Source organism: Homo sapiens, chromosome 2 (assembly GCF_000001405.40).
Source record: "Homo sapiens chromosome 2, GRCh38.p14 Primary Assembly".
Lineage (NCBI taxonomy): Eukaryota > Metazoa > Chordata > Mammalia > Primates > Hominidae > Homo > Homo sapiens.
In genome coordinates this window covers 95001787-95029310 of record NC_000002.12, presented here as the reverse complement: position 1 = coordinate 95029310, position 27524 = coordinate 95001787, and the positions used below count along the sequence as shown (strand labels likewise).

General features: G+C 51.7%; 1 protein-coding gene, 1 long non-coding RNA gene and 1 pseudogene across 6 annotated transcripts in view, besides 4 other annotated features; 2 read left to right on the top strand and 1 right to left on the bottom strand.

Moving 5' to 3' along the window:
- Positions 1-3603, bottom strand: part of MAL (mal, T cell differentiation protein (MAL blood group)) — a 28285-nt gene extending 24682 nt beyond the window's left edge. For all 4 annotated transcript variants that reach the window (NM_002371.4, NM_022438.3, NM_022439.3 and 1 more), the window contains exon 1: positions 3426-3603. In NM_002371.4, the coding sequence (NP_002362.1) occupies positions 3426-3518 (93 nt within the window). In that variant the 5' untranslated portion in view covers positions 3519-3603. The remainder of the gene's footprint in view (positions 1-3425) is intronic.
- MAL-AS1 (MAL antisense RNA 1) lies at positions 2282-26208 on the top strand. 2 transcript variants are annotated; one of them, XR_007087136.1, is made up of 8 exons: positions 2282-2752; positions 2878-2971; positions 5054-5116; positions 5968-6094; positions 12128-12233; positions 13700-13710; positions 14066-22728; positions 26178-26208. It is a non-coding gene; the product is annotated as an MAL antisense RNA 1 (long non-coding RNA). The 2 variants fall into 2 exon arrangements; XR_007087137.1 differs by lacking the exons at positions 12128-12233; positions 13700-13710; positions 26178-26208 and having other exon boundaries at positions 14066-20468.
- Positions 2496-3219: an enhancer, noted in NCBI's record as "H3K4me1 hESC enhancer chr2:95691837-95692560 (GRCh37/hg19 assembly coordinates)". NCBI's record gives its function as "activates a minimal SCP1, AML or CMV promoter by ChIP-STARR-seq in naive H9 embryonic stem cells {active_cell/tissue: H9 hESC(naive)}" and the evidence as "EXISTENCE:reporter gene assay evidence [ECO:0000049][PMID:30033119]".
- Positions 3574-3703: a silencer, noted in NCBI's record as "silent region_11737". NCBI's record gives its function as "represses an Ori minimal core promoter by ATAC-STARR-seq in GM12878 lymphoblastoid cells {active_cell/tissue: GM12878}" and the evidence as "EXISTENCE:reporter gene assay evidence [ECO:0000049][PMID:35858748]".
- Positions 6726-7226: an enhancer, noted in NCBI's record as "H3K4me1 hESC enhancer chr2:95687830-95688330 (GRCh37/hg19 assembly coordinates)". NCBI's record gives its function as "activates a minimal SCP1, AML or CMV promoter by ChIP-STARR-seq in naive H9 embryonic stem cells {active_cell/tissue: H9 hESC(naive)}" and the evidence as "EXISTENCE:reporter gene assay evidence [ECO:0000049][PMID:30033119]".
- Positions 15726-15825: an enhancer, noted in NCBI's record as "active region_16180". NCBI's record gives its function as "activates an Ori minimal core promoter by ATAC-STARR-seq in GM12878 lymphoblastoid cells {active_cell/tissue: GM12878}" and the evidence as "EXISTENCE:reporter gene assay evidence [ECO:0000049][PMID:35858748]".
- Positions 25468-25766, top strand: RN7SL575P (RNA, 7SL, cytoplasmic 575, pseudogene; annotated as a pseudogene).
- Positions 26209-27524: the final 1316 nt, after the last annotated feature.

The following is a 27524-nucleotide window of genomic DNA, read 5'->3' as shown; positions in this document are numbered from 1 at the left end:
TTGGAAGTGAACACCACATTCAGCCTACAGGTGGCCCTGAGGACGGAGGGAGAGAGAGAATAAGATAACAGAAGGATGTCTAGGAGGCTTAGATGCCATCTGAAAGCTTCATTTCCTTAATACATAACAGCAAACAAGGCAAAATATTAAGATTTGACAAAGTTGGGCAATAATTATGTAGGTGTCTGTTAAAGTATTGTATATGTTCTTCTGTGGCATTTGAAATATTTCTATTTTTTGTTTTTTAAACTTGAGGTGAAATTCACATATCATCAAACCAATCATTTTAAGTTGACAGTTCAGTGGCATTTAGTACATTCATGGTGTTGTGCACCCACCAACTCAATCTAATTCCAAAGCATTTTCATTACCCCCAAAAAGAAACCACATAGCGATTAAACAATTGCTCCCCTTGGTCCCTGGCAAACCACCAGGGTTTGTGTTCTGTCTCTATGGATTTATCTATTCCAGTATTTTATATAAACGGAATCATACACTATATGACATTTTGTGCCTTGTGTCTTTTGCTTAGCATAGAGTTTTCAAGGTTTATCAACTTTGTAGCACGTATCAGTACTTCATTCCTTTCTATGGTCAGGTAGTATCCATTGTTTGGATATGTCGCACTTTGTTATTCAGTTCATTGCTGATGGCCACTGGGCTGTGTGTTATTGTGAAGACTGCTGCTATGAACATGCATGTGCCAATACTAAAGTCCCTGCTTGGAATCCTTTGGTTATATACCCAGGAGTGGAATTGCTGGGTCAGAGGGTAATTTTTTGAGGGAACACCAAACTGTTTTCCACAGTGGCTGAACCATTTCACATTCCCGCCAGTGGCATACCAAGGGTTCCAATTTCTCCACATCCAATACTTGATGTTTTCCGTTTTTTGGATAGTAGCCATCCTAATGGGTGTGAAGTGGTATCTCATTGTGATTTCTTTCTTTCTATTTATTTAATTTATTTACTTATTAATTTATTTTTTTGAGACCGAGTCTCACTCTGTTGCCCAGGCTGGAGTGCAGCGGCATGATCTCGGCTTACTGCAACCTCTGCCTCCCAGGTTCAAGCGATGCTCATGCCTTAGCCTGCTGAGTAGCTGGGACTACAGGCATGAGCCACCCAAGCCGGGTTTTTTTTTTTTTTTTTTTTTTTTGTATTTTTAGTAGAGATGGGGTTTCACCATGTTGGTCAGTCTGGTCTCGAACTCCTGACCTCAGGTGATCCACCCACCTCAGCCTCCCAAAGTGCTGGGATTACAGGCGTGAGTCACCGCAACTGGCCTCATTGTGGTTTCAATTTAGTTTTCCTAATGCCTGATGATGTTAAGCATCTTTTTATGTGCATATTGGCCATTTGTGTATCTTCTTTGTAGAAACCTCTGTTCAAGTCCATTGTCCATTTTCTAATTGGGTTGTCTTTTTGTTGTCGAGTTGTAATATTCCATAATTAAAAAAACCTCTCGAGTAGCTGGGAGGCTGAGGCAGGAGAATGGCGTGAACCCGGGAGGCGGAGCCTGCAGTGAGCCAAGATCGCGCCACTGCACTCCAGCCTGGGCGACAGAGCGAGACTCCGTCTCAAAAGCAAAAACAAAAACAAAAACAAAAACTCTCCCGGGGTGGCCAGCGCCTTCTCAGGCCCTTTAATTCTCCACTCCTTCCACACATCAAATATATACAGCTTCGTATTTACAGTCCATGCAGAGGAGAACTGAGAGGCTTGGGGTCAGCTTTCTCCTCTTCTCTCCCAGGCACCTGCGAGCCCACCCCTAATCTAGAGCATGTGGAAGATGCCTGGAGATGACTATGCATTGCGGGTCTCCTGGGAAGTGAGGAAGGGAGGTGGGGAACAGGGGTGAGGTGGAGAAGTGACTTTCTAAGTCAGCTGAGAGAAGCGTTCTGGGCGAGGGGGAGTTGTTTCTTCTGGAAGCCCCGCTACCGGCAGGCCACAAAGCCACGCTGGAAGAGCAAGCTGCCAGTAGTAGATGGTTCCAAGGTTTCCCACGCCCCTGTAATTTCTGCAGCATTGGCGGGTTGGGTGGGAGTCTCCGGTCACCTTTCCCGCAGATCAGATCGCCCCGTCTAACTGGACTGTTCCTACTCTCAGGGGCACTCCTTCTTGTATGCTGAACTTCTAAAAGGAGGCCAGCGGGGGGCTGGCTCTCTGTAAACGGTGGGGCTGCGTTCATTGGCGTCCAGGGTTTCTTCTAAATGTAACTGCTTTGATTCCGCCTATCCCTAGGATTTCAAGTCACCGGTTCCACCCAGGTTTGGGTTCGACTGGACTTTCACCCTAAGTTCAATGGTAGCCCTGCTCCCAGGCCGCCGCAGCCCTCTTAGCCTCTGCCCGCAAGCCCTCTTTGGATGAACTGACCTGCTCCCTTTGGTATTCACACCCTCCCCCTCCAATCAGGCAATAACAACCTGGGGTCCAATTTTTAAACAGCCAGGCTCCGACATTTTCTTTCCCGCCCAACTCTCCACGCTGACACTTCTGAGGGTGGGGTGCCGGAAAAGGTGTCCCTCAGGCGGTGACGGACCGCACCCACAGGACATACAGGGCACACCCCTCCCAGGTGAAGGCCAGCGGCCCCCGGGGAGTTGAGGCTGAGGGAGGTCACTTCGGCTTCGCGACACCGTGAGCGCTTATCAGGAGTTCTCAGTAGGAAGCGCTTTCCTGCAGCCTCAGGCAGAGACCGTGCGTGCAAGGCGGGACCGACCGCAGGTGCAGAGGCCCCGGGCCTGCCCAAGGTCAGTCGAGGCGCGCGGATCGCTCTCGCCGCCACCCCCCACCCCCCACCCCCCATCTCCTCCACCCCCACCCCGCACACGGGGCAGAAGGACTGCGGCCAAGCAAACGATGGCCTCATTTCCAGATCGAATTGGTCGCAAATACGTTCCCTCGCCAGAAACTTTAAAAGGCCAGAAGAAAATAAACCGGATTCAGCTCCCTCTCATCTCCAAATCTCGGTTGGTAATACTAATGTTTCTCTTGCTGATTTTTTTTTCTTTTTTAACGAAACCTTCTCCCTTGTAAAAGCTGCGCACTTCTACCCAACCGCGCAAAGCGCGGCGGGAGCTTCGGTGGCGCTGCGCGCGTCAAGTGGGCCCCGCGCGCAGCTTTGGGACCAGCGAACCAAGAGCCGTCCCCCCCTGCCCCGCTGCCTACATCTGACCCCAGTTGGGAACCCAGTTTTTCCTCCATAGTCCTGTAGACTGTTCCCCTCATTCTGTTGGTCTAGAAGGGCACAAAGGACCGGAGGTGGGAGGGGACTTCCCTGGCTTAGTCCCCGCCCTGCGCCTGCTGCCCCGATGCTCCCAGAACCTGCGCAGCTAGCGGATCCCGTCCGACAGCTGTGCTGGGCGCCCGAGAGAGCGCACGGCTCAGCCCACCCCGTCCCTTCCCCGGCCAGGAGCCACTCACAAACTCAAAGATGAAGAGCAAGTCGGGCAAGGTGGTGAAGACCGAGAAGCCACTGGGCAGGGTGCTGCCCCCCGTCGCCGCTGCGGGGGCCATGACGGCGTGCTGGCGTCGGCCTTGGGACGGGACGAGCGCCGCTCAGACTCCGCGCAGACCTCTCGCTGGCTCCGCGGAGCCCAGTGGCCTGGGCGCCCCCGCGCGCGGGTTAAGAGCAGGGGAGCCCGGGGCAGAAGAGGGAGGAGCCCCGGCCGCCGCCCAACCCCGCCCCCCGCCCCACGCCCCGGGAGACCCGGCCCGAGCGCCGCGGGCACCGCCCTGAACCTCTTCGAGGCCCCGCTGCGGGCGTCCAGAGCTGGGGACTGTGGGTCTGACTCCTGCGTTCCAGCCGTGGGTGCCACCTCTTGCGGGAAGCAGGGCAAAACCACTTTGGTCAGGCGCTCCTCGTGCCTTTCTCCCTTCGTAGGTGACCAGCATCTCGTAAGAATGATAACCATCAGTAACCGGGACCCCAAACCTTCTCATCAAGGCACCTCTCGGGTCACCATTACTTTAACTTTGAATTTGGGTCTCCTTCATTTTTCCGCTGGATGCGTTAATGTGCGCGACCCACAGCTCCAGGCGGCGGTTTCCTGGCGGAACTGGACCACCGCCACAGGCTGGGGGTCTGCAGTGGGGGATGGGACCGGCCGCGGCCGCCGGCCCCTTCCGCGTCCACTGAGCCGGCGCTGGTTCGGCGCTGGGATCCTGCACCGGGCCTCTCTGCTTGGTGCTGCGCGTCTGCCTGAGAGTAGGAGGTTGCTCCCAGCTGTGCCGGCCCCAGCAGAAGGCTGCTGGTGGTGGTGCTGGGGCAGGTCGGCCTTGAATCCATGCGACAGGAAGGGACGTTACCAGAAGAGATTCATCGCTTTCTCTTGGTCTGGGCAGCCCGGGCCTTTTGAGGGTGGGACCGCTGCTACCCCCACCCCCAGGTTCTTTGCCTGCCTGTTGACTGCCGGTGTTTCATGTTTTGTTTCTCTGTTTCACTATTTTTTATTTTTTGCCTTAAAAAAAAAAGTATTACCATGCAGCAGTTGCCCATTTATTTTAATTTACTATTAATAGTGTGATTGCTGTGTTTCCTCCTACAAACACTGAAGCCTGAAATCCGCCCGAGTCCGGATTCTCGCCTGCCAAAAGGGAATTGGCCCCGCAACCTCCAGCTTAGACTCCCAACTCTTCTTTCTTTCCATTGGCAGCTGCTGCAGGCAGGACAAGGGGCTCCCCTTCTCTCCAGTGGGGCCTTCACCTCTCCCTGCTGCACAATTCTTCCTCCTTCCCAGTCCCTAGGGAGAGAAGTATATTCGTGGACGCATTTTCCAAAGCAAAAGTAGCACGCCCATCAGCTGGCCATTCTAAGTGCCTCTGGAAAGGGGCCAGGCATTTGAAATGAGAAAACCCCACTGTGCCTCTGTGAGCTGCCAGCCCGGACGGCTGCAACCAAGGTGCCATTGTGTCGGGTCCCCAGGGCAGCATCTCTCTGGACACAATGGGCTGTGGGACTTTAGGAGCCCAGGTCCTCATCCACCTTGGGCATCTCATAGCTCGTTAGTTGGACCTGCTGGCCTCTGAGAGGACATCTTCTTCCTCCCCAGGAGACCGTCCTGGGAACAAGCCTTAAAGCAAGGTGGCCACAGGAAGCCGCAGCCTGAAGAGAGGTGAGATGACCCTCAGGCAGTCCAGCGAAAGCTGCTTGGAGATTTCCTATCAGCACATACTAATTAAGAACAAGAAGATCCTATCAACTCCTAATAATGTCCTTACCTGGCCTGGAGGGCTTTTGTTTGTGGTTTGGTTTGGTGATTTCCTACTTATTTCAAGCCTTTGTTGCTAACTCATTCCTACTTGGGCCTGAGCCTTTGGGGAAAGCTCGCTCCCAGGGGCAACTCAGTGGAGCTCAGCAGTCCCAGCCCTCCTTTGATAAGGCAGAGGGGCAGCAATCTCTGAAAGAGGCTTCAGAGGATGAGGAAGGCAGCCCGGCCAGGGTCAAGGGGGTTTGTCCCTATCTCTGTGACCCCCTCCTCCCACCTGGAGTTCTCCGCTCGACGTTCATCTTCCTGACCAGACTCTACCCTCGGCAGGGCATCCTCCAGCCACCCCCATCTGCCCCTCTCCTTCCCCACCCTAGCATATGCTCAGCACCCAAGCAGAGCCCAGCCTCTGGTGAGTGCTCATTAAACCTTAGCCAATGGTGGATGACTCCAGCTTTGTCTGTGCTTGACCACCAGAGGAGGACATGGAAGTGCCCTGTTTGGATGTAAGAAGCACTGGTGAGGAGTGAGGCACTGGTAATAGAGAGACATTGGTAAATAGAGAGGCATTGGTGAGAGAGAGGCGTTGGTGAGACAGAGAGAGGCACTGGTGAGAGAGAGGCACTGGTGTGTGAGAGAGAGAGAGAGAGGCGTTGGTGAGAGGAGGCATTTGTAAAACAGAGGCATTGGTGAGAGAGAGAGACATTGGTAAGAGAGAGGCATTGGTAAGTAAAGATGGGCCTGTCTTCATTCCCCAGCACAGCTTCTGCAGGTGCTCTGGGCCACCTGCTGGTGAATGAGGTGGTTGATACTTATCAGAAGCCCAGGACCATATTTTGGTTTCCAGCAGGATATGAAAAAATAATTTCAGCCAATAATAACTCAGTGAGTATCCTTGGTCTTCCCAGTGGGTGTGAATAAGAGGGTGGGTCTGGGGCTTCTGTCAAATATTAATAACGTGGCCTTGGGTGGGTTTCCACAAAGTAGGAATTGGAAAGTTGCCATTGCAGAGCCAGCCTGGGGAAGGAAGAGGTTACCACCTCCAGTTTGTGTGTGTTCAGGGGGAGGGAGGAGATTGTGGGGAGAGGGACGTGTTCAGGGAAAGATTAATGGGCAGGAGTTGCCCATCCGTAACAGTAGGTGCATTGGTTTTTGAGGTAGGTAAGATGACTCCCATTTTACTGATGAGCTAACAGAGGCTCAGAAGTGTTAAGTAGCTGCCCAAGGGCACAGAGTTGCTGAGCACCTTGAACCTGAGTGACGCTGCACCTCTAAAGCTCCGAGCCCTCGATGAAAACCCTGCTCAAGATGGGCAATTGCCAGTCAAATGCCAGCTCCATGCAGACATCGGCAGCCTCCCAAATCCAGTCTTCATGGTCATCTCAGGTGTGGCCCCAGGCACCTGCCCTGGTGGACAGGGCTTGGGACCTTCACCTCTGGGAACACAAGGAAGTGGGGGTCATCATCCCCATTTATGGATGGCGAGGCCGGGTGCCGACATGAGTTCAGAGAGCTACCCTGAACGCGCACTTCCCCCTAGGGATTTTATTTTTCTCACAGACACAGTCACCCACAGCCCTGGGTTCCATAGAAGGCATGAAGCAGTGAGGGCACCTGCTGGCGGATGGGGGAATGGCAGCCACAGCTGCCATGGCGTCAGCGCAGGAGGGGAACCTGTTACTGAGGGCTTGCTGAGTCCCAGCACTGCCACAGGCACTTTGCCTGCATGGCTTCATTTAATCCCACAGAGGCTTGCTGGTGGGTGTCACCCAACATACAGGCTAGGAATGGGAGGTAATGTGCGCAGGCCACATGGCTGGTGACTAGGCCTCTTGATTCCAGCAGGCAGGCTCTGTGTCTACTGCACAAAATCCACAAACTGGAAAATCTGAAGTGGTGGCTGCTCACCAGGGCACTGTCCTTTGATGGGCCATGGGCTCCGTGTGCCCACTGCCTCCAGGGACAATGATCCGCATGTGCTCTTTTCCCCACCCTCTTGTAGGATCATGTTTTCTAGAACCAGGGAGATGTGGCACTCTGCCACTGTCCGACAAAGTCCTCATGATATTCTGAGCACAAAACAGGCTGGCATTGTCTGGGTGACTTGTGGATGGGGATGGAGGGTAGAGGGTGTGTGAGTAGGAAAGACAGAGTCCCTGCTCCCTAGGAGAGCTCTTTCCAAGAGGGACAGCACGTGAGGCTGAGAGGCACCTGGTCAGGGCCTGTGCTGGGCATGCTTTGTCCATGACTGCAGGCAAAGTGCTCAGAGACGGTGTCTTAGTCTGTTCGGGCTGCTGTAATAAACTACGGTAGACCAGGAGGCTTGTCAACAGCAGGAGCCTGTTTCTCACTGTTCTGGAGGCTGGAAATCCTAGATCAAGGTGTTGCAGATTCCGTGTCTGTTGAGGGTCCACTTTCTGGTTCACAGACGGCACCTTCTTGCTGTGTCTTCACAGGGTGGAGGAGGTGAAGGGTCTCTCTGGGGCCACTTTTCTAAGGACACTGATACCATTCATGAGGCCTCCATCTTTATGACCTAATCACCTCCCAAAGGCCTCAGCCCTGATACCATCATCTTGGGGGTTAGGATTTCAACATAGGAATTTGGGGAGGGGACACAGACATTCAGATCATAGTAGGTGGCACATGGACCAACTGTTCTAGAACAAAGTTGGGGTGGGGGCAGGCTGCACAGTGGGGCCCTGTTTCTGAGAACCTCTTGGGTGGTACCCCTGTGCCCGCTCTGCAGATGTAACAGTAAACTCAGTAGAGCCTCCTGCCTCCAGCCCAAGTTCAGTAAGCGCTGGGTGATGGGGTTGCCATGGAGGAGGGGCCCCTGCCTCTTTGAAGCTTATTATGAGGCTTGGGAGGCAGATCTTAATCAAGCATAGCACACTGCAGGGAGCCCAGGTACAGCACCGGCCCAGCCTGGCCTATAGGGAAGCTTGTGGGAGGAAGGGCCCTTTGGATTGGTGAGCAGTGGTTACCAGGTGAAGGGAGAGAGCCTTCCCGACACTGGAACAGCACACACCAGGCCCCTTGCTGTCTCCTGGAGGAGGGTCTGGCATCGCACCACACACTGCAGGCTTCAAGTGCACATACAGAGATCAACAGTGAGTCTGAGGAAGGCGATAGAGCAGGGAGGAGGCAGAATGTAAACAACCACAGGAGTCCAGGGCAGAAGGAACAGGCATGGGGGCAAGTTCTGGAAGGGGAGGAGAACAGGACTGATGCTGCGGCGGAACTTGAGGAAGGCCTGTGAGGTTGCATGGAATGTGGATGTGCAGGAAGAGGGAGGGAGTGTGCCAGGCCAAGGGGACAGTGCAGGTGAGTCCTGGGGCCAGGGAGGCCTGTGACCTGTGTGAGAAGGTGGCTCCTGGGCAGACCCAGAAAGGCCAGGGACAGGCTGGGCTCAGGCAAAATGCAAAGGGTATGCCGCATACCTTGAACTTAGTCCATTCCCTCTGTTGAACCCCAAGAGTAAGACCCCTCTTCTTCCCTGTTTGGAGCCCACCTTCTCTGCCCCAGAGAGGGACTGGACCCTGCGCCTCCACAGGAGAGCTCACAACCTGCCCAGCAAGTTGCACCAGGAATTTGGCCCACGTTGCCCGAAACATCAGACCTGCAGGGCTGGGCCAGTGGATCTTTGGAATGTAGTCTCAGCATGTTTGGGGCTAGGCTGGTTTGCTCCAGTGCAAAGCATCTCCCTTCAGGTTTCACTTACAGCACCCCTCAGATGGCCGCTGCCTGCCTTCTTAGACTCTGGAGTGGTTGTTAAGTAAATAACAGAATTTCGCAGATGCATCCTGCAATGACCTTGGCCCCAGGCCTTTCCTGCTCAAACTTATACTTCCACCTGGGGCTTCCTCCAAAGGCGCCCCCCCCCCCGCCCCTTAGAGTGAGGTCACTCCCTCGTGGACGACCAGGAATCCACCTTCTAGAGAAGCCGCCTGGCCCTATAGTCAAGGAGAGAGACTGTGGCAGTGGAGGCTCTCCTGATAGATACCCTTCTTCTTAGCATTCCTATTTTCTGTTGGAAAAAAATGCACCCTTACTTAGAAAACAGACAAAAACGGCATTGTCCTAATGCCCCCGATTCTTCCAAATCAAGGCAACTATTTTCATTTCTGCACATGATCTTTTAGAACTCATAGAGAGGTGAATTCGTTCCTTCTCTGAGCTTCTCTTTCCAGCTGGTGACTTGGCCACTCATTCAGCCTCAAACACACTCCCCTAGTGTCACACACAGGCTCTGCGAGCACAGGGAGCCAGGCTGGACAGGGAGGCACATGTGGGAGCCTGAGAGGTGCAGGTGTAGGCACTCCAGGGTGGGGCCATCGAGACCTTCGACAAGGCCAATGTGGGTTCTCCTCTGGGGGAAGAAAGCAGGGTCCAGTGAGGGTTACTGTTTCTTCTGTCACTGGAATGATTGGCCAGGGCCAAGCACTTGGAGCACAGCCAGAAGAAACAGGGCACAGGGACCAGCCCAGATGTCTCTGAGTTGGCACAGGGGACTTGGAGATCAGGAACAGCATGAGATCAAGAAACACATCAAAACCATAAAACTCAACAAAGCAGAATGCAAAAACTTGCTGCAAAAGAAGAATGGAATGTTTGCATGGAGGGTAGTAGGAAATTGCTACTTCACGTCTCAGTGCGTAGTGCTTAGCGCAGCACCTGGCCCATGGGCAGGGCCATGAGTGCTTCTTGAAGGACAGGGAGAAAGGGCGGGGAAAATGAGCTCACAGGCAGGCGTCTGGAAAGCTGAGGAACCCTCAGACCCCACAGGGCCTGTCCTGTTGGTTTCCTAAACTTGCTGCCCATGACACAAACTGTGTCCTTTGGGTGCATTGGTTCCTGTTGTGGCAACAGACCTGTTTTTGAAGCAGTAGGGCCTAAAGGAAAAGGAAGGAAAAGCTCTTGGCTGCCCCGGGTCTTGGTCTATGATTCAGAACTGCTAAGCCTTAGAAGGAAGGGAGGGGACTCGCCACTGCCCCACCTGGATGACAGATGAGGAGGCGCCCAGAGAGGTGCACCTCAGAGGCATGTAGGAAACCAGAGGCTGGTGGGCAGAGGGCAGCCACAGCTGTGGAGGGGAGGGCTGCCTGCATCCGACCAGCCCGGTTTGTTTGGGAGTGACCCTGACCGTGCAGGACTAGGCATTGCATCGTGAGGAGGATTCAGACCCATCCCCTCTGCATCACCTCCCAGACCCCAAACCCCCCAGGCCCATCTCTTTCCAGACCCCACCATCTTTCCAAACTCTCACTTGCCAGAACCCGTCACCTCTCGATCCATCACCTTCCCCAAACCCCTTAAAAAATCAGAGAGGTCAGAATCTTGGCGCTACCCGGTCCTCCGAGACATGACAGTCTCTCCCCACCAGCTCCAGGCCCGATCACTTGCTCTTTATGTGGGAAAGGACAGTCTCTTCTCATGAAGTGTTTAATCCACTTGGCATAGGAGGCCTGTGTCCAGGCTGTGGGATGACACCCTGCCGTGGGTGGAAAAGGGACAGTGGATGTCCATGTGCTGACACCGGAGGATGCCGGGACAGCGTCCTTTCAAGGTAAAAGAGGAAGTGGCAGATCCGTGCTTAAAGCATAATCCATTTTTTGCTTCTAATAAAATGTGTCTGCAGATACAGAGGTAAATGCACACCTGGACGGACAGAAACTGCGCTCCTCACAACGGCTCCCTTTGAGGATGGTAGGATGGTATTGGGGGGTGAGAAAGCACTGGGCTGAGGGCAGGAAACGTCATTTTTTCGTTAAACAGTGGACAAAGGATGTAGAATTTGCAACTGAAAACCCACTAAAGGAACGCACACCTTGGCTCCAGCCTGCTGATCTGTGGAGGTCGCCTCCTTCTGCCTGGCCGGGAACTCCTGTGTGTTGCAGAGCTGGGCAGGAGACCTCGGATGCCACATTTCTGGGGACATCCTCTTTCTTTTCCCTACCCTCACATGGTCCCATCCTCTGCGAGGCAGGGCTAGAGGCAGGGCTAGGCAGAAAGGGCTGCATGTTTGCTGTCCCGGGGCGGCCCGGGGCTGCTGAGCGGCCCCTCCGTGCTGGCCTCGCTGCCCTGTGCCTTAGCCTTCCTTCCCAAGAAGGGGTTGCCTGTTTCGGTGCCTGACACCTCTGACCTGGGGCCCCTGGCTTTCTCTTCTGCCTACTGCCTTCCCCAGAGTTGGCTGCACACAGGGTCAGCGCGGCACCTCTGTCTTCTTCACAGGCACCATCCTCCCTCTGATCACATCATGAATGTGCCACAGAATTCCTCCCTTCTGCCAGACCTCAGAGAGCACTCAGATTAGAGTGACCTCGGGGCCTGGATTAAAAATCTCCCTTCTAGGACGGCTTGAGCCCGGTTGGTGGAGGCTGTAGTGAGCCGAGATCATGCCACTGAACTCCAGCCTGGGCTGTAGAGTGAGACTCTGTCTCAAAACAAACAAACAAACAAACGAACTCTCCCTTCTGCTATTTCCTTGCTGTGCAACTTTAGACAAATTACTTGACTTCTCGGTGCCTGGGTTTCCTTGTCTACACAATAGTGATGCTAATCTCTCTCCCAGGGCTGTCTGTGGATTAAACGAGATAATGTGTGTGAGTGCCCTTGGCAGTGTCTGGCATGAGGCAGCGCCCGGGACATGACAGCTGGTGTTGACATAAATAGAGGCCCCCTGGGCTCCCCCAGGATTCTTTGCTGTCCCACACGTGCCATGCCCTGTCTCACAGCTTCACTCTCAGGAGAAAAGTTTTCTCCCCTGTTTGAATGCAGCTTCTGTTAGGGAACATTCTGGCTGTCACACACACACCCAGATCCCTACCTCGTCTCCAGGCTGTCACCTCCCAGGCCTAAGGCTATTTCTGTACCTACCCTCCTAGCAAGTGGTAGTTCTTGTTCTGCTCATTGCAGGAGGCACCGCACCGTGAATTCCTATACAGCAGAAGATGGGACGGCCACCTGAGCCAACCCCACAGCTGACAGCTGAGCCTCCAGCGAAACCCAAGGCTGACACAACGTGAGTGCCTCACTGTGAGCTCTTACAAGGGGTCACTGTGGCCTTGCGATGCTAGGGAAGGAAAGCAAATTCAAAAAGCTTCCAGGGTTGTCATCAGCAAATAAAGTCTCTCAGCCCCAGTGGAAGCCCAGCCTTCATGGGAACCCAGCTCTCATGGGCTCACTCTCTCTACGGCTCACCAGACTGCCTGGTGCACTGACGGGGTCTCATTAGCCCTTAGTCACCTGCTGAGGTGGCTCTAAAGGTTTCACCTCCGGTGGCCTCTCGGGCCTGTGAGGGAGGGCTGGAGCCCGCCCAGCTCAGAAGTATGACAGGGCAGGCTCACCACTGGCACGTTCTGCTTGGGGTCAGGCCTGGTTCAGGGGTCCTGAGGGATGGCTTAAAGCCCAGAGGCTCCATTTCATCGCTGGGAAGCGAACGTGGTTCACAGAAGTCCTGCCCATGCATCTGGACCTGCTGCACTAATTCAGGGACTCGGTTCTTTCTGCTCTTTCTGTGTTGGGGAGGAAGGGGTCGGGAGTACAGGTGTGCGCTGCCACACCTGTCTAATTTTTGTATTTTTTTTTTTTGTAGAGACAGTGTTTTGCCATGTTGCCCAGGCTGGTCTCAAACTCCTAGGCTCAAGCGATGCTCCCTTCTTGGCTTCCCAAAGTGCTGGGATTATACGTGTGAGCCACCATGCCAGGCGGCGGGTGTTTGTTCCTTTTTTTTTTTTTTTTATTTTTTTTTGGAGACAGTCTCTCTCTGTTGCCTAGGCTGGAGTACAGAGATGTGATCTCTGCTCACTGCAACCTCTACTTCCCGGGTTCAAGCGATTCTCCTGCTTCAGACTCAGTAGCTGGGATTACAGGCACGCGCCACCACACCCGGCTAATTTTTGTATTTTTAATAGAGACAGGGTTTCACAGTTGGCCAGGCTGGTCTTGAACTCCTGACTTCAAGTGATCCGCCCACCTTGGCCTCCCAAAGTGCTGGGATTACAGGTGCGAGCCCGCACCTGGCCCTGGTGGTGCTTCTTAACAAAGGTCAGTGGATTTCTGGACTTTCTGAGTAACTTGTGGACAAATGAAGAGAGTCCTCAGGGACTTTCTGAGCTTGGCTAAATTTGATATTCACAAATGAGAAGTTTGGTACCAGAGTTTTCTGAGGCTCCAATTCAGGATTTCCCTAAGAAATCTGTCTGGAAAGCAGTGTCTAGCTTCTGGGCCTGAACCCAGGCACATACGCGAGTGTGCACACACACACGGTTACAGTTTCTGCGATTTTGAGAAAGGCCTCGATATCACACACGTTGTTGCCGTGGGTGTCTCATGGTTTCCAGCTGCTCCTGCACTCATATTGATGAATACAGCCTTAGAGAGATTTACTGCTTTCTTTTGTGGATGGCTTTGTTCCTGCGTTGATGTATCATTTCCATTTCACCGTGGTCTGTGTGGTCATCACGTTCTTCCTGCGTGGGAAAGCAGAAGCAAGTCTGGTGAGCAGCCACTGAAAACCTTGCAAGCCCTGGCCCAAGAGCTCGTGTCTAGAGATGGCCTCACTCAGTTAGTCCAAGAGGCTTCCAGATAGCTAAGGGGTCCGGGGGAGGGTGACCTCACAAGGGACTGAGGACATGGGAGACCACCCTTCACGCAGGTGAAATGGACCAGCGGGTGCAGGCTTGGCTCTATCTAACATCAGGGAGGACTTGGTAGCTGTGCCAAGCTTGTGGGGTGTGGTTGTCATGATCCAAAGAATAATGGGCAGCTGTAGGGAGGCCCACAGGCTCAGGGGCTCTGAAAGCCTCTATTTTCAGGAGAGCCCAGTATGTGACCAGCAATGTTTTCTCTAAGGTGTACAGCGTGGAGCCAAGGAGGACAGCTTTTTCTCAACAGAAGCCCACAGGCAACTCATGGCTGCATTGGTGGTCCAGAGACTCTGGGAGGCTGGAGGAGGCTGCCAAAGAATCTTCAGGGAAGGAGTCTCCAAGTGCACTAATGGGAGTGGTGGCGGGGTCAGGAGAGTGTGAAGTTTGCTGGTGACAGCAGCAAGGTGTGCAGCACAAAGGAGACACGTAGGCTGCAGCCCCCACCTGAGCAGCGTCAGCACTGAGGCCAGGGTTTCACTTCTGTACCAGGGGGGAGTCTGGCAACACCTTCCTTCACAGCAGTTGCTCGAAAGACACAGACAAGCCAGGATTCTGCCCCAAATAATAATAAACACTGACGCTGTAGATGTAATGAGCCCTAGGACAGGCCTCCACCACACACACTGGAACGCCTCCCCCCAGGAAGAGAAGAGCTGCTCTGGTTCTCATCACTCCCCTCACCCTAACATGAGCCTCCTGGGCTGGTGTCTAGTCCTGAAGTTTAGTCAGTTAGCTCTGTTCACTTTGATTAGTCCCATGCTGAGGACATTTGGGTGGGGAGAGACTTGGCAATCTCTGGCAGACGCAGCAGCAGGCAACTGGGCTGAAGTGTAGGCTCAAGTTCTGCCCCAAACCCTCTCGAAGTGGCCTGGGAGAAAATGACAAGCCAAGGGCAGTCCCTGACGAAGCTGTCCAAGGGCCAGTGTCACGGCCATGCCATCCTGCTCACAATGCCAATTGTTTTGTAAGATTTCAATGTTCTTTTGATGATGGACACAACACAAACACTCTGGAAGAGATGAAAGGCGGAGCTTTTGGTTACTTACAGCTCCAAAAGAGAGCCAGCTGCCAGGCAGGGCCACACAGGGGACTCACCCAGGGACAACAGACCAGCACGCTGGGACTATCTGGGCAGCTCGTACACGGCAAGCGGGGTGGCTTAGGTGGGCTTCATGGGCCCCCTGGGAATTGATTCATTGACACAATATTGCAGGCTCAGGAGGCTGGGAGCCATCCCGGGTTGGTCTGGAACTTGACACCAGGCAGTTAGGGCAGGGGCATGGTGGTCTGGAGAGATGGTCATAGTGGCAGCCCCCTAAGGGAAGGGGTTGGAATGTGGACTTAACTGCTCAGGAAAGTAAACTAACTGGCATCTAACCAGGGCCTCAAAACTGGTTCAAGACAGTATATATATATAATTTTATTACAACTGGTTCTGGTGGCAGAGGCCTCTTCCAGGCCTGAGGAAGTAGCACCTCAGCACCCTGGACCTGCCCGCCCCTGCACACCAGAGAAGGACCCCAGGTCGAGCCCAGTCCTGGTGATGCCAGTCTCCCTGACGGTTGTTAGCTCAGGCGTGGGCATGCTACACAGCCCCTGCCAATGATAGAGTTGATCTGCTCGGTTTCCACTGGCACATTTACTCTATCTGCATCAAGCACCTGCTCTTTTCTAGGCACTATTGTGTGAACAGGGAATTCACACGGGATAGAACAACATCCCTTCCTCAGGGAGCTTCTGCCCTAGAGAGAGAGCTCTGCTGTGGGTCAGGGTGTTTTCATCGACTCCCACTCACCCTGCTGGTGAAGGAGGGATTCTCATCCCAGGGTTATGGGGATGGCCCAACACACAACGTTGACACACTGGACAGAAGACACAGACAAAAGTTTCTGAGGCTTATATGCCCACAGCCTGGGAGAGGAGGACGCAGGGCCCATGGGAGCTGCGGTGGGAGCAGAAGGACCTGGCACGGGCTGGGGGAGGCGGACTTTGCAGTACTAAGAGGATGCGGTGGCCCTAGTTTCTATCTGATGGTGTGATTGGCTTGTTTGAATAATTCTGTGGGCTGATAGGGAATGGAAATGCAGGGACAAGCAGGAACTGTGACCGGCCCCCTTGAGAAGGAGGGTAGAGGTGTGCAGAGGGGAACTTGTGGTTAGGCCATTCGAGGCCCTCCCGGTTTCACCAGATGTCAAGGCAGTGCATAATGTCATTAATAATATTAGTTTTAGGCTTTACACCACAGAGGGCTGCTTCTGGGATGTGGCTTTTTTATGTCCTTAGGCCTTATTGTGTAAAGATATGATGCTTGGAGCTGCCACAGCCTCTGTGAGAAGATGAGTGAAAAGCCACAGAAATAACAGAGAGGCTGACTCGGGCCCTGACTAGGGTGGAGCTGCTGAATTACTCAGTCTGGGGGTGCCGTGCCTCCAGCCTTTCCATTTGTGGGATGTGGCACTCAGTTCCTCATTGTTTAGGCCTCTCTGGGTTGGGATTCTATTCCTGCCACTCAGAAGTAGCCTGGTCCTGTGCTCATACTGTGTGATCCTGTGTGTATCAGTGGCCCCAGCTCCACGGTGCTGAGGAGCACAGAGCAGATGTGGGTTTCTTCTGTGTTTGTGCATTTCTCTGTGCAGATGTGATGATATCTCGTGTGCATTCTTTTTTTTTTTTGGAGACAGGGTCTTGCTCTGTTGTTCAGGCTGGAGTGCAGTAGCACAATCATGGCTCACTGCAATCTCGAACTCCTGGGTCCAAGTGATTTTTCCTTCTCAGCCTCACGAATAGCTAAAACTACAGGTGCATGCCATCATGGCTGGATAATTTTATTTTTATTTTTTCGAAGAGACAAGGTCTCATTATATTGCCCACGCTGGTCTTGAACTCCTGGCCTCAAGCGATCCTCTCACCTCCGCCTCCCAAAGTGTTGCAATTACAGGCATGAGCCACTGTGCCTGGCCTGATGTGCATTCTATACAAAAAAAATATAACAAGCCCCAATGTCTCATTGGAGGGTAACAGGAGGAGGAGTCTATGGAGGGGCTGGCCAGTCCTGGAGCCAGAGTGTGGGCCTCTCAGGAGGGATATCCCACCTGGTCTGCAGGACTGGAGACCAGCAGGGCTGAGGTGAGTCCTGGGCCACTCTGGCAGCAGGGGAGGTCAGAGTCTGACCCCCACTGGGGAGACAGATATGAGGAAGCTTTAGAAGAGGGGAGCATTCCCTCTGTTGTTGTCTCTGGTGACCTGAAGACCCATCTAAGTGCTGACTGATGACCAAGAGAACAAGGTGCTGGTACCCGTGACCTGGGCCACCATGAGCCACTGCACCTGAAGGTAGGGAGCCCCTCTAAAGGATGGCAGCCTATCTCATGGCCAATGATAACTTACCTGTGAGCTTGTTGGGGCTTGGGGGCTCTTCCTTGCAACCAATGACTTACACGCAAGGTTGCTAGTACAAGGAGCTCTTTGTCAGGCTTCTGGTTGGTGGATAGAGTCATCTGAAGGCCACTTCTGTCCTCTAAGCCCCACCTGCCCTTCTGAGGATTACAGGATGGGCATGGCCACTTATTGAACATGTATTAACTGCCAAAGGCTTTTTACTCGTGATCTCTAAACCTTACAACCTTCCTTATAAACAAAGGAAGTGATGCTCAGAGAGGCTAAGTGACTTTCCTAAGCCCACACAGCAAAGAAATAGTGGAGCCTGATTTGAACCCAGGTTCCTTCTTCAATGCAGAGCCTGCTCTTCCCTCTGGCCACCATCCCGTGTATCCAATGCTTTGAGCAGTTGCCTCAGTGGCAGGCTGGGCTGTTACTGCTTCTCTGAGCCTCAGTCCCCTCATCTGTAAATTGGGATCACAAGAGTTGAGAAGGAGGTGCCTGGTGCCTGGCACAAAGCAGCTCTTGACTACCGATGCCAGCCCCTCTGCATGACCCGCCTCTGGGCCTTTAAAAATTTTGGCAGTGGCTCACGCCTGTAATCCCAGCACTTTGGGAGGCCGAGGCGGGTGGATCACGAGGTCAGGAGATCGAGACCATCCTGGCTAACATGGTGAAACCCCGTCTCTACTAAAAATACAAAAAATTAGCCAGGCGTGGCGGCGGGTGCCTGTAGTCCCAGCTACTCAGGAGGCTGAGGCGAGAGAATGGCGTGAACCCGGGAGGCGGAGCTTGCAGTGAGCCGAGATTGCGCCACTGCACTCCAGCTTGGGCGTCAGAGAAAGACTCTGTCTCAAAAAAAAAAAAAAAATCTCTCTCTATAGACTGGAGGCAAAGAAGAGGATGGAGCTAATAATGAATGATGGCAGCATGGAGTCAAGCCCGAGGTCTTAGAGAAAGTCACAGATGACCGCGTCCCGTCATCTGCCCACTGCAGAGCCCAAGGCACAGAAGGCCTCTCGCCGTCACAGCTCCAAGTGCTGGAGCTGGAGGCACACAGGCGGCAGTGTGTGAGGGGCAGGGCTGCCAATGGGCTGTAGGCTTTATGGCCTAGTGAGAGACCCTGGAATGTAATCTGGGCTTTCATCGCTCTGCAGCTGGAGTAGGGCAGGTCACTGCCAGCCTGCGCTGGGCTGGACTGCTGGTCACCAGGGACCTCTAGACCTCTGTTCACAGCAGACTGCCAGGCCTAGAGCCCAGGGAACCCAAGGCAGGACTGATGGAGTGGAGAGGAGGGAAAGGCGAGGCCCCCACTCCTGCAGCTCTGCAGGCTCCAGCAGCATTAGAAAGGAAAACTGTTTTAATGGCCTCCTCGAGGCGGAGGGAGTGGTGTTTAACAGGGCCTGAGGAATGGGCCCTCAGTGAGCTCCATGAGGCCTACTGGGTGCTGGATCACATGGCATGAACACCAGAGCCCTCTACCATCTGGAGACTGTGGCAAGTTCTTTCATGCTCATGGGTGAAGCAGGCATCCTGGTGGTACTTCCCCGTGGGGTGGTTGAGGGGTTAAGGGAGGCTTTCCTGTCCTGAGCCCACCCCATATGAGTGGCTACTAAACGACGGCCTCAGCATTCGTTACCCCTGGGAGGGCCTCCTGTCTCTCCTCTCTCTGCATAAGCTGCCCCAGCCGCCTTCCCACCCAGCCTCCGGGCTTCCAGCCCCCAGACCTGGGAGACATAAATGTCTGTTGTTTCAGCCACCCAGCCTGTGGTATTTGGTTACGGCAGCGTGAGTTGACTAAGACCCAAGGAGAGAGCCCACACCCCCGATTTCCACTGGGAAGTGGCGGCAGCAGCACTCAGAGCTCTCAGGTCTTTGTACAGCAGTCCCTGGGCCAAGTCTTGCTGTAGATGAGCTCCTATCAGCTCTACCAGGGCAGTCATGCTGGCATGCCCACTGTAAGGATAAGGAACCAGAGGTACAGAGAGATGGAAAAACTTGCCTAGAATCACAACGGTTAGAAAATGGCAGAGGAGGGATTTGCACTTTTGGGCTCCAGAGTTCACCGTCTTTTTTTGTTTTTGTTTTTGAGGCAGGGTCTCACTATGCCGCTGAGGCTGCAGTGCAGTGGCGATCATGGCTCAGTGCAGCCTCGACCTCCCATAGCCGGCTAATGTTTTTTGCATTTTTTTTGTAGAAATGGGGTTTTGCCAGTTGTTGCCCTGTCTGGTCTCAAACTCCTGAGCTCGTGATCCTCCTGCTTCTGCTTCCCAAAGTGCTCAGATTACAGGTGTGAGCCATGGTGCCCCGCCCAGAGTCCAGGGTCTTAACTACAGTGTTTGATTCTGCCCCAAACCAGCTCAGTTGCCTCTGGGTCTCAGCAATTCCATTTTTAAACTTGTTATTGATATACTCACAGTCTGTGAAATTTACACAACACATAATTATGTGAACACACTGCCAGGTCGCCTTGCAGGGCCATGGAAGGGACTGGCCAGCAAGGGCCCAGCTGCTGAGGCTGCACAGCCCCACAGCAAAACGTCCCTGCGCTGAGCAGGGTTCAACCTTACAAAGAATTGAAGAGTAGATTTATATAATAATGGGATACGTGATGAATTTTGAAATTATTGCCCAGATAATGAAACTTTGGAGCAATATATAAAGATTGTGACCCCTTGGGTAGGCAGGTGTTACCTTGACTAGACTTGCCCTCTTTAAGTTATGGTTATTCTTTTTATTCTTTATTCCACTTCTTTGCCCACAGTGCTGTGGGCTTTAGGGTCACTCTGGCTTCCTCTGACCGGCCCTGGAAAGGAGGCCTCCTTCATGGCACCTTTTGTTGTCCTTGAAGAAAGTTTTTGTTACAGGAAAGGTTAACCAGAGGTTACTCTGCTTTATAGAGTTAATATCTCACTCATTAAACCCACACATTCAAAAACCCAGTTTTTACTCAGGCATTTAATTTCAGCCAGCAAATTGTAAAATTGTACGTGTATATTTTGAAAATTGTACATATTTTGTCTAACATTTTTGGCAATCATTTTAAGGACAACTTTATTTCTTAATAATTTCTTAAGGATTAAATTCCCTTAAACCTTTAGAATTGTATTTATAAATGTAATAGTTTCTGTTTTTCCTGTAAGTATTCTAATTATTAGAATTATTTAAAATATTCCTGAATATTTAAACAACTTATGAATCCAATAGATTAAATCTAGAAATATGGTGTATTTTGAGTTCTCTCAAGTCTTCTATACTGCTTATAAATTTAGGACATTTTAAGTAAAAATCACAAAGCTCAGCTGATGACATATTTTAAATTAGAAGCAAAAAAGGTGAATATTTACTCCATTAGGGCTAATTTCTTTTAAACTTGATGAAACACCTAGAATTTGTAAACTATGTGCAAACTTACATGAAATATTATTATTTTGGGTTTGGTTTATTTAATAATTCTCTACTTTATTCTAACCCTCCCTGGGCCATGGTGACTCAGAGACAGGGTCAGTGCACAGGCTGGGCCCATGGAGAGCAGGGCATCCAGAGCTTGTCAAGGGCTGCTGGCCAGAGCCTGCTCCCCTCACTGCTCTTTAAGTGACTGTAACAGAAACGGGTGGCCTTAAGCCAAGCTGAGCGGGGGTTTCATTACACCTGCCTTGTAGGGATTCTGGGATTTGTCATGGGGACACACTACAATGTGTACCTACAATAAGATGGAAAGATGTTCAATTACACTCTATACACATATACACATGAAAGGGAGGGACCCCTTTTGCTTTGCCTGTGTGCAGTAGATGCTTACACGGAGAGTTTGGTGTAGACAGACAGAGACAAGAGGCTCCGCATTTCAGGGAGGAGCAGACCTCTACAGCGACCAAGGAGGAGGGCCAGATACAACTAACTGGAAGCTGAGGAGCGGGTTCTCAACTTGACCCTCTGAGGGCACAGGAGACATTACTGAGCAGGTGCACAGCTGTGCCAGAATGAAAATGTTCTGTGACAGAGACAAGAGCGCCTGCTGAGAGCGGAGCTGTCTCCATGTGCATGACCACAGCCACAGCCCTGTGACATCAGGCATGTGACACGCTTGCTGGCTGATGAGGCCCAGAAAGGGCCTTTAGAGGTGGCTGCGAGGCAGCGCTGCAGTAGGATACCCTTATAAGGAAGCTTTTTGCCAGGACTGGGCTGGCGGCTGTCCTGGGAACCCCAATCCCACAGTGCTTCTGGCTTTCCTCACCATTAGCATCTCCTTTCCTAGCAAATATCCTGAGAGCGCTTTGAGATTGTGTTTTTCTCCTGGGGCAACCACCTGCAGAATCTCCACGGAGGGGCTGGGAAAATGCTTTGCATGATCCCTCAAAGCTCCCTTTCATCGAGGGAGGAAAGGCTGAGAGGTGGGCCTCAGAAAGAGCTTCGTGGGGGCAGGAGCCATCCTGGGGGTAGAAGAGGGGTGTAACTGGTCTAGTCCATCCGAAGTAAGGGCTTTAAGGAGCCTGCTGGGAGAGTTTAACCTGGGACCCCCGCAGCATGAGGGACATAGAGACTGGCCTCAGACCCAGGCTTGGATGATCCAGAGGGTGAAGTCAGGCTGGCAGCCTGCTCTTATGCTGGAGCCCAAGTGGGTCATGGGAAAGAAGAGCCAAAGCGTTCCCATTGACCAGAGGCCAGGTGAGAGAGTGAGGCGGCCCAAGGTGGTGGCAGCTCCTGTGGGAAGAGACCACCCCAGGGGCTGGAGGTGAGGCTGGCTGCCCAGGGGCCGAGGAAGGAGGGAGTGGCCAATCTGAACAGAGCGGCCTTCTCCTCCTTAGGGTCTGTAGCCAAAGGTGCGCCGTGCAGCACCTGGAGTGGGGGGTGGTGGGGGAAATCTCCGAAGGAGTCAGGAAAGCACCTCTGCCAGGGCCAGATCCCATCACAGGCATCAGTGGGTGAAAGCGCTCCTGCTGCTTTCCTTTCTCCCTTTCCCGTCTCCATACTGGAAGGGCTGGAAATGGCTTTGAGGAGAAGGGGTGTGAAGAAGAGTTAGGCAGCCCACTGTGCCGCCCCGCCCTGGCTGCAGCAGGCTGGAGGGGGTTTAGGGGGTGAGGAGAGAAGGGGACTCAACACTGGATCCAGTTTTTATCACCCAAGAATGAACAGATCCCCTGCTGTGCTTTCATCCAGAACAGGAACTGCCCTGGAAGTAAGTAACCAGAACAGGAACTACCCTGGAGTGAAGTAAAGGGGCGGTGGGAAATTCCCGTGCGGCTGCTGCCGATGTCCTGTGCCACCGAGGCACTGCATAGTCTGTTGGAAGGGAAAACAGAAAAGTAACTTTCAACCTTCTCCCCTCACCCCTTTGAATGCCAAGGAGAGCCCTCCTCCCAGCCCCAGAAGAAACCTCAGCTGTGTTCTTGTGCTGTGCGTCCAAGAGAAAGATGATCAGAGCCCAGCGGCTGCATGCCTAAGCTTCCATGCTCTAGTGGCCACATTAGAAAAAGTGAAATGGAACAGGTAGAATTAACTTTAATAATGTATTATGTTTAGCCCCAAGATCTCTAAAACATTATCACTTAAACATATACATTAATAGAACAATTTTTGAGATATTTTACGTTCTTTCTGTTCCAGTTCTTTGAAGTTCGATGTGTATTTTACACTCACAGCACATTGCTATTTGGACCAGTCTTGTTTTGAGGGCTCAGTTGCCACACATGGGTCTCGGGTATCCAGGAATGGTTTTGTTTTTCAAGATTAGAAAATCCAGCCCAGTCTGAAACCAAAGCTGCAATCTTTTATCCAATCCAAACACCCACCTCCCCAGCCCAGGCTTGAAAACCTTCAGTAGAAGGGGCAGCTTCTGTGTGGGGGCTTTTCTCTCTTCCTCACTTTACCTTTTCTCCTATTTAGCAACTGTGCTTTTGGCCCCACCCCCTCTCTCCACCCCTTCTCTGCCCAGGGCCAGTGGGCAGAGCAAAGGCTGAACCCTAGGTCGCTGGGGCTCTCTGAAGTTCTCTCTGCCAGGCTGTGCCCTGAGGCGCCCTCTCTCGTGCCGTGGTGCTTTTGTGCTAGGGGCCGCACCTGTGGTTCCTTGATGGCGCCCTTCCTTTGCTGGCTGTTAGCTCTCAGCTCTGGCCTGTTGGCTGCCAACTCACCTGGGATTCCCCTGGTGGGGGACTCGCCTTGTCTGTCCAAGCCATCTAGGCCCCTTAGAGAAGCCAGTTAGTGCAGCTGACCCTGCTGCCCAGGGAAGGCCACGTGCTTCTGCCTTCACTCCCTCTTCCCCCTGTTGTAGAGGCAGCAGCTGCTGCAGGCCTCGCTCTTAGGTTTTTCCAGGCACACATCTGGTACTGGGTCCTGGTGCTCCCCACCCCACCTCCAGGGACCCAGCCAAGTTCTCAGAGCACTCTCTTGACACTCCCTGTATTTGGCTTGGGGTACCCTCCTGCCTTCCTCTCTGTCATCAGCATGGGCAATGCACTAATAAAAGTGGCAGAATGCCCCCTGGAAAGTCCTATGTGGCTGGACCTTTGTCATGGGGATCCTTTGGCATGTCCTGCTTTCCATGGAGAAGCCAAGACCCCATTTTAACCCAACACATTTACAGATACAGCCAGGAAGGACACGCCACACCAGCACCAAAATATTCACATTGACCATCATGGGGGCAGCAGAGCATTCCCAGTGATTTCTACTTTTGCTTTATGAGTCATGGAATTTTCTAAAATATTTTTGTAAATTCTATTATTTATTATTTCTATAAGGAATTTTTTTTAAAAAAGAAAAACCAATAACTCCCTAAAGTCAAATAAAATAAGAATGTGAATGTTGTCCAAAAAATATACATCAAGAAGGAAGTAAATAGCAAGTGTTTGCGTCCACGTGTCCGTGCTCACAGGTCCTGGTAAACAGGCTGTGGTGTATTTGGAGTCAGACTTCTCAAAGAGCAACTTGGTGGCCTTGCTTTTTCATTTCCCAGGCGCCTTGCTGCTGGGGTTTAGTTACATTTGGCCAGTGGTGGGCTCTGGCAGGCTGTAGGAAGGTGGGTAGAGGAAAGAAACCATTGTTCACTCTACTTCTGGTGGGGCACTGACTGCAGGAGTTTAGTGCTCCCCCACCCCCACCCCCGCGGGTCGGTGCTGTCGGCAGCAGCGCACTCCTCTGCTCAGACACCAGGACCTCTTGTCTTGTGATCCTCCAGCCCTAAGGGGTGCGCTCACTTCCTGTGGTTATTAATTCTCTGGGTTATCTCTCATCTCCTTTTGTACTCCTTGTGCCCTGGAAACTATTTGTAATCAGGCCCCTGAATTAAATCCCCTCTTTGTGAAATACCCAGCATGGTTTCTGTTTTCCAGACTGGACGCTGGCTGACTCAGGCACGCAGTTTTTGACCTCAGCCTGGCGCGACATCCTCCTCCTTGCTCTTCTCTCTGTAGCTCCCAGGTGGCTCATATGTGCCCCAGCACATATGTGCCCCAGCTCATATATGCCCCAGCTCTGTTTTCTGCCTCCCACAGAGAGCAGGTGCAGGTCATAACACGGAGCATCTGGCCTAAGGCCAGTTTGGCCAAGCCTGCGGCAGCCAGTGACCCCTCAGGCCAGGACTCCTGGTCCTAGTACCTAACGTCCTGTGCTGTGCCTGCCACTGCGGTCCCCCAGGGGACAGGGCATGCTATAGAGGCCTGCCCACTGTATGCAGCTGAGGAGCAGCCTCTTAGACCTGAGGCCTCAGGTCACAGCAACACCACAGCCTTGACTCCGGGCTGTCCACACTGGGGGACACCTTTAGGAAATTTAAACTTTTATCTTCCAGTTAAGGAAAACAGAAGCAGCGAAGAGAAGTGAACTGCCCAAGGTCACACAGTGACTGACTTGGAACAACATGGCCAGATCCCAGGTCCCTGCCTCCTGATCCAAAGCACTTTAAGAAAAAAAAAAACAACAAAAAACCAAAAATGAAACTGTTTATTTTGAGATCATTATAGATTCACAGGCAGTTGTAAGAAATAATACAGAGAGATCCTGTGTGCCCTTTGCCCTGTTCCCCTCCATAATAACAGGTTGCAAAACCATAGTACAATATCACAACAAGGACATTGATGCTGATACACTCCACCAATTTTCAGGTTTCCTCAGTGTTACTTGTATCCATTTGTGTGTGTGTGTGTGCATGTGTATTTAGTTCTGTACAGCTTTATCACCCACACAGAATAGATTTTGTATCCACTACCACACTCAAGAGGCCAAGCATCTGCTGGGCATTGTGGCAGGTGCCTGCAGTCCCAGCCACTCATGAGGCAGAGGCAGGAGGATCATTTGAGTCCAGGAATTCTGGGCTGTAGTGTGCTGTGCCAATTGGGTATCCACACTAAGTTGGGCATCAATATGGTGACCTCCTGGGAGCAGGGAAGCACTGGATTGCCTAAGGAGGGGTGAACTGGCCCAGGTCAGAGATGGAAAAGGTCAAAACTCCTGTGCTGATCAGTTATGGGATCGCGCCTGTGAATGGCCACTGCACTCCAGCCTGGGCAACCCAGCAAGACCCCATCTCTTAAAAAAATGTAAAAGTAGGAAAAGATGCATAACAGCTCCTTCCCCACAGGGATCCCTCATGCTGCCCTTTTAGGGCCACACCCACTTCTCTCCTGCTTCCAGCTAATTAAAAAAATTTTTTTTTAGAGATGGGGGTCTTCACTATGTGGCCCAAGCAGGTCTCAAACTCCTGGGCTGAAGCTATCCTCCTGCCTCAGCCTCTCAAAGTTCTGGGATTACAGGCTTGAGCCAGTGCACCTGGCCAACATTTGATTTTAATCACAAATTTAATAAAGGAAACATCTTCCAACATTCTAAACTGGCTTTAAAAATTTAATATACTCATTTTCTTTTTTAATTATGTCAATGGTCTGATAGTAAATTGGTTTTGAGTCTTTTAAATGAGTCTTTTTTTTTTTTTTTTGAGACAGATACTTGCTTTGTCACCCAGGCTGGAGTCAGTGGCACCATCTCAGCTCATCGCAAACTCCACCTCCCAGGTTCAAGGGATTCTTGTGCCTCAGCCTCCCAAATAGTTGGGACTGCAGGCATGCACCACCATGCCCAGCTAATTAAATGAGTCTTTGTATCTAGTAAGTTGAACTTGAAGTATGTTGAATTTTACATTCTCTTTAATGTTCCAACACTGTTCGTGAACTTAGATTTTAACCTAAAGCCACAAGGCTAAAGCAACGACGCAATTCCACACCGGAGTCTGAGTTCCAAATCTCTAACATATTATCTTCAGAAAATTCCAAATGTGCAGATTTCTTAACACCCAGATACTAACACCTAACCATTATTGAGCTCGCCTAGATCCTTCTGAGACTGGCATGTGTGTGCCTGCTGTGAAGGCCCATTGTCTTCCCAGTTGCCCACGGAGCTTGTTGGCAATTTCACTCCCTCACCTAAAGAGTAATCTAAAAGTCTTGTTCAGTAATTGTAGCTAGTTTGAGCAAACAGACTGACATAAAAAAGTATGTACATAAATGCAAGCCCAAGTTTCTCATTAAGTTTTTAAAAAAGACTTTGTTTTGATATTTTATATCAATTCCACCTTTAATACCTCCCCAATACCTTTAAAATTATTTTTATCATAATTAAATATATACCAAAAGATAATGATTTTTTCATGAAGCCCCATACAATTACCTACTTTATCCCATTGTGCAAAAAATTGTATTTTTTCTGTGCATTCCATGATGTGTAAGAGATCGGGAAGTAAAATACTATATTATTTTCTTTGCATTCCATGATGTGTAAGAGACTGGGAAGTAAAATATTGTATTCTTTCCTATGCATTCCATGATGTGGAAGAGATTGGGAAGTAAAATATAAAATGTGGATCAAAAGCCTGTGCCAGGCTTATTTAGTTCTCACAATAGAAGTGAATTGCCCAGGACAAAGTCTCTGACTCCTAACTAGTTGGCTCTCAAGAGACACTTGCCAAAGGAAGAAATGGCCTGTACCTACCATTGACACTTTAGTGTGAATGTATTTCTAGAGCCTTATTTCCACTTTCTGTGTGAAATGAAAGGTAAATGTTTCACTTAAGCTGCCGCAGTAAGAGACACCTACAAGGCTGGCTGGTTCTAGCTGTGCAAGTGTTTCTACCTGGCGCTGCAGAATACTCTGGCCTAATTCAGTGATGAAGACAGAAGCCTTGTGCCAAGGAGCCACCTGCTTTGGGTATTGTGACTGCACTTGGGCAGGAGGAGAGCCAAGAAAAAAACAGCCTGACACACAGTAGAAACTTCTTGTGTTTTACTTCCCAATCT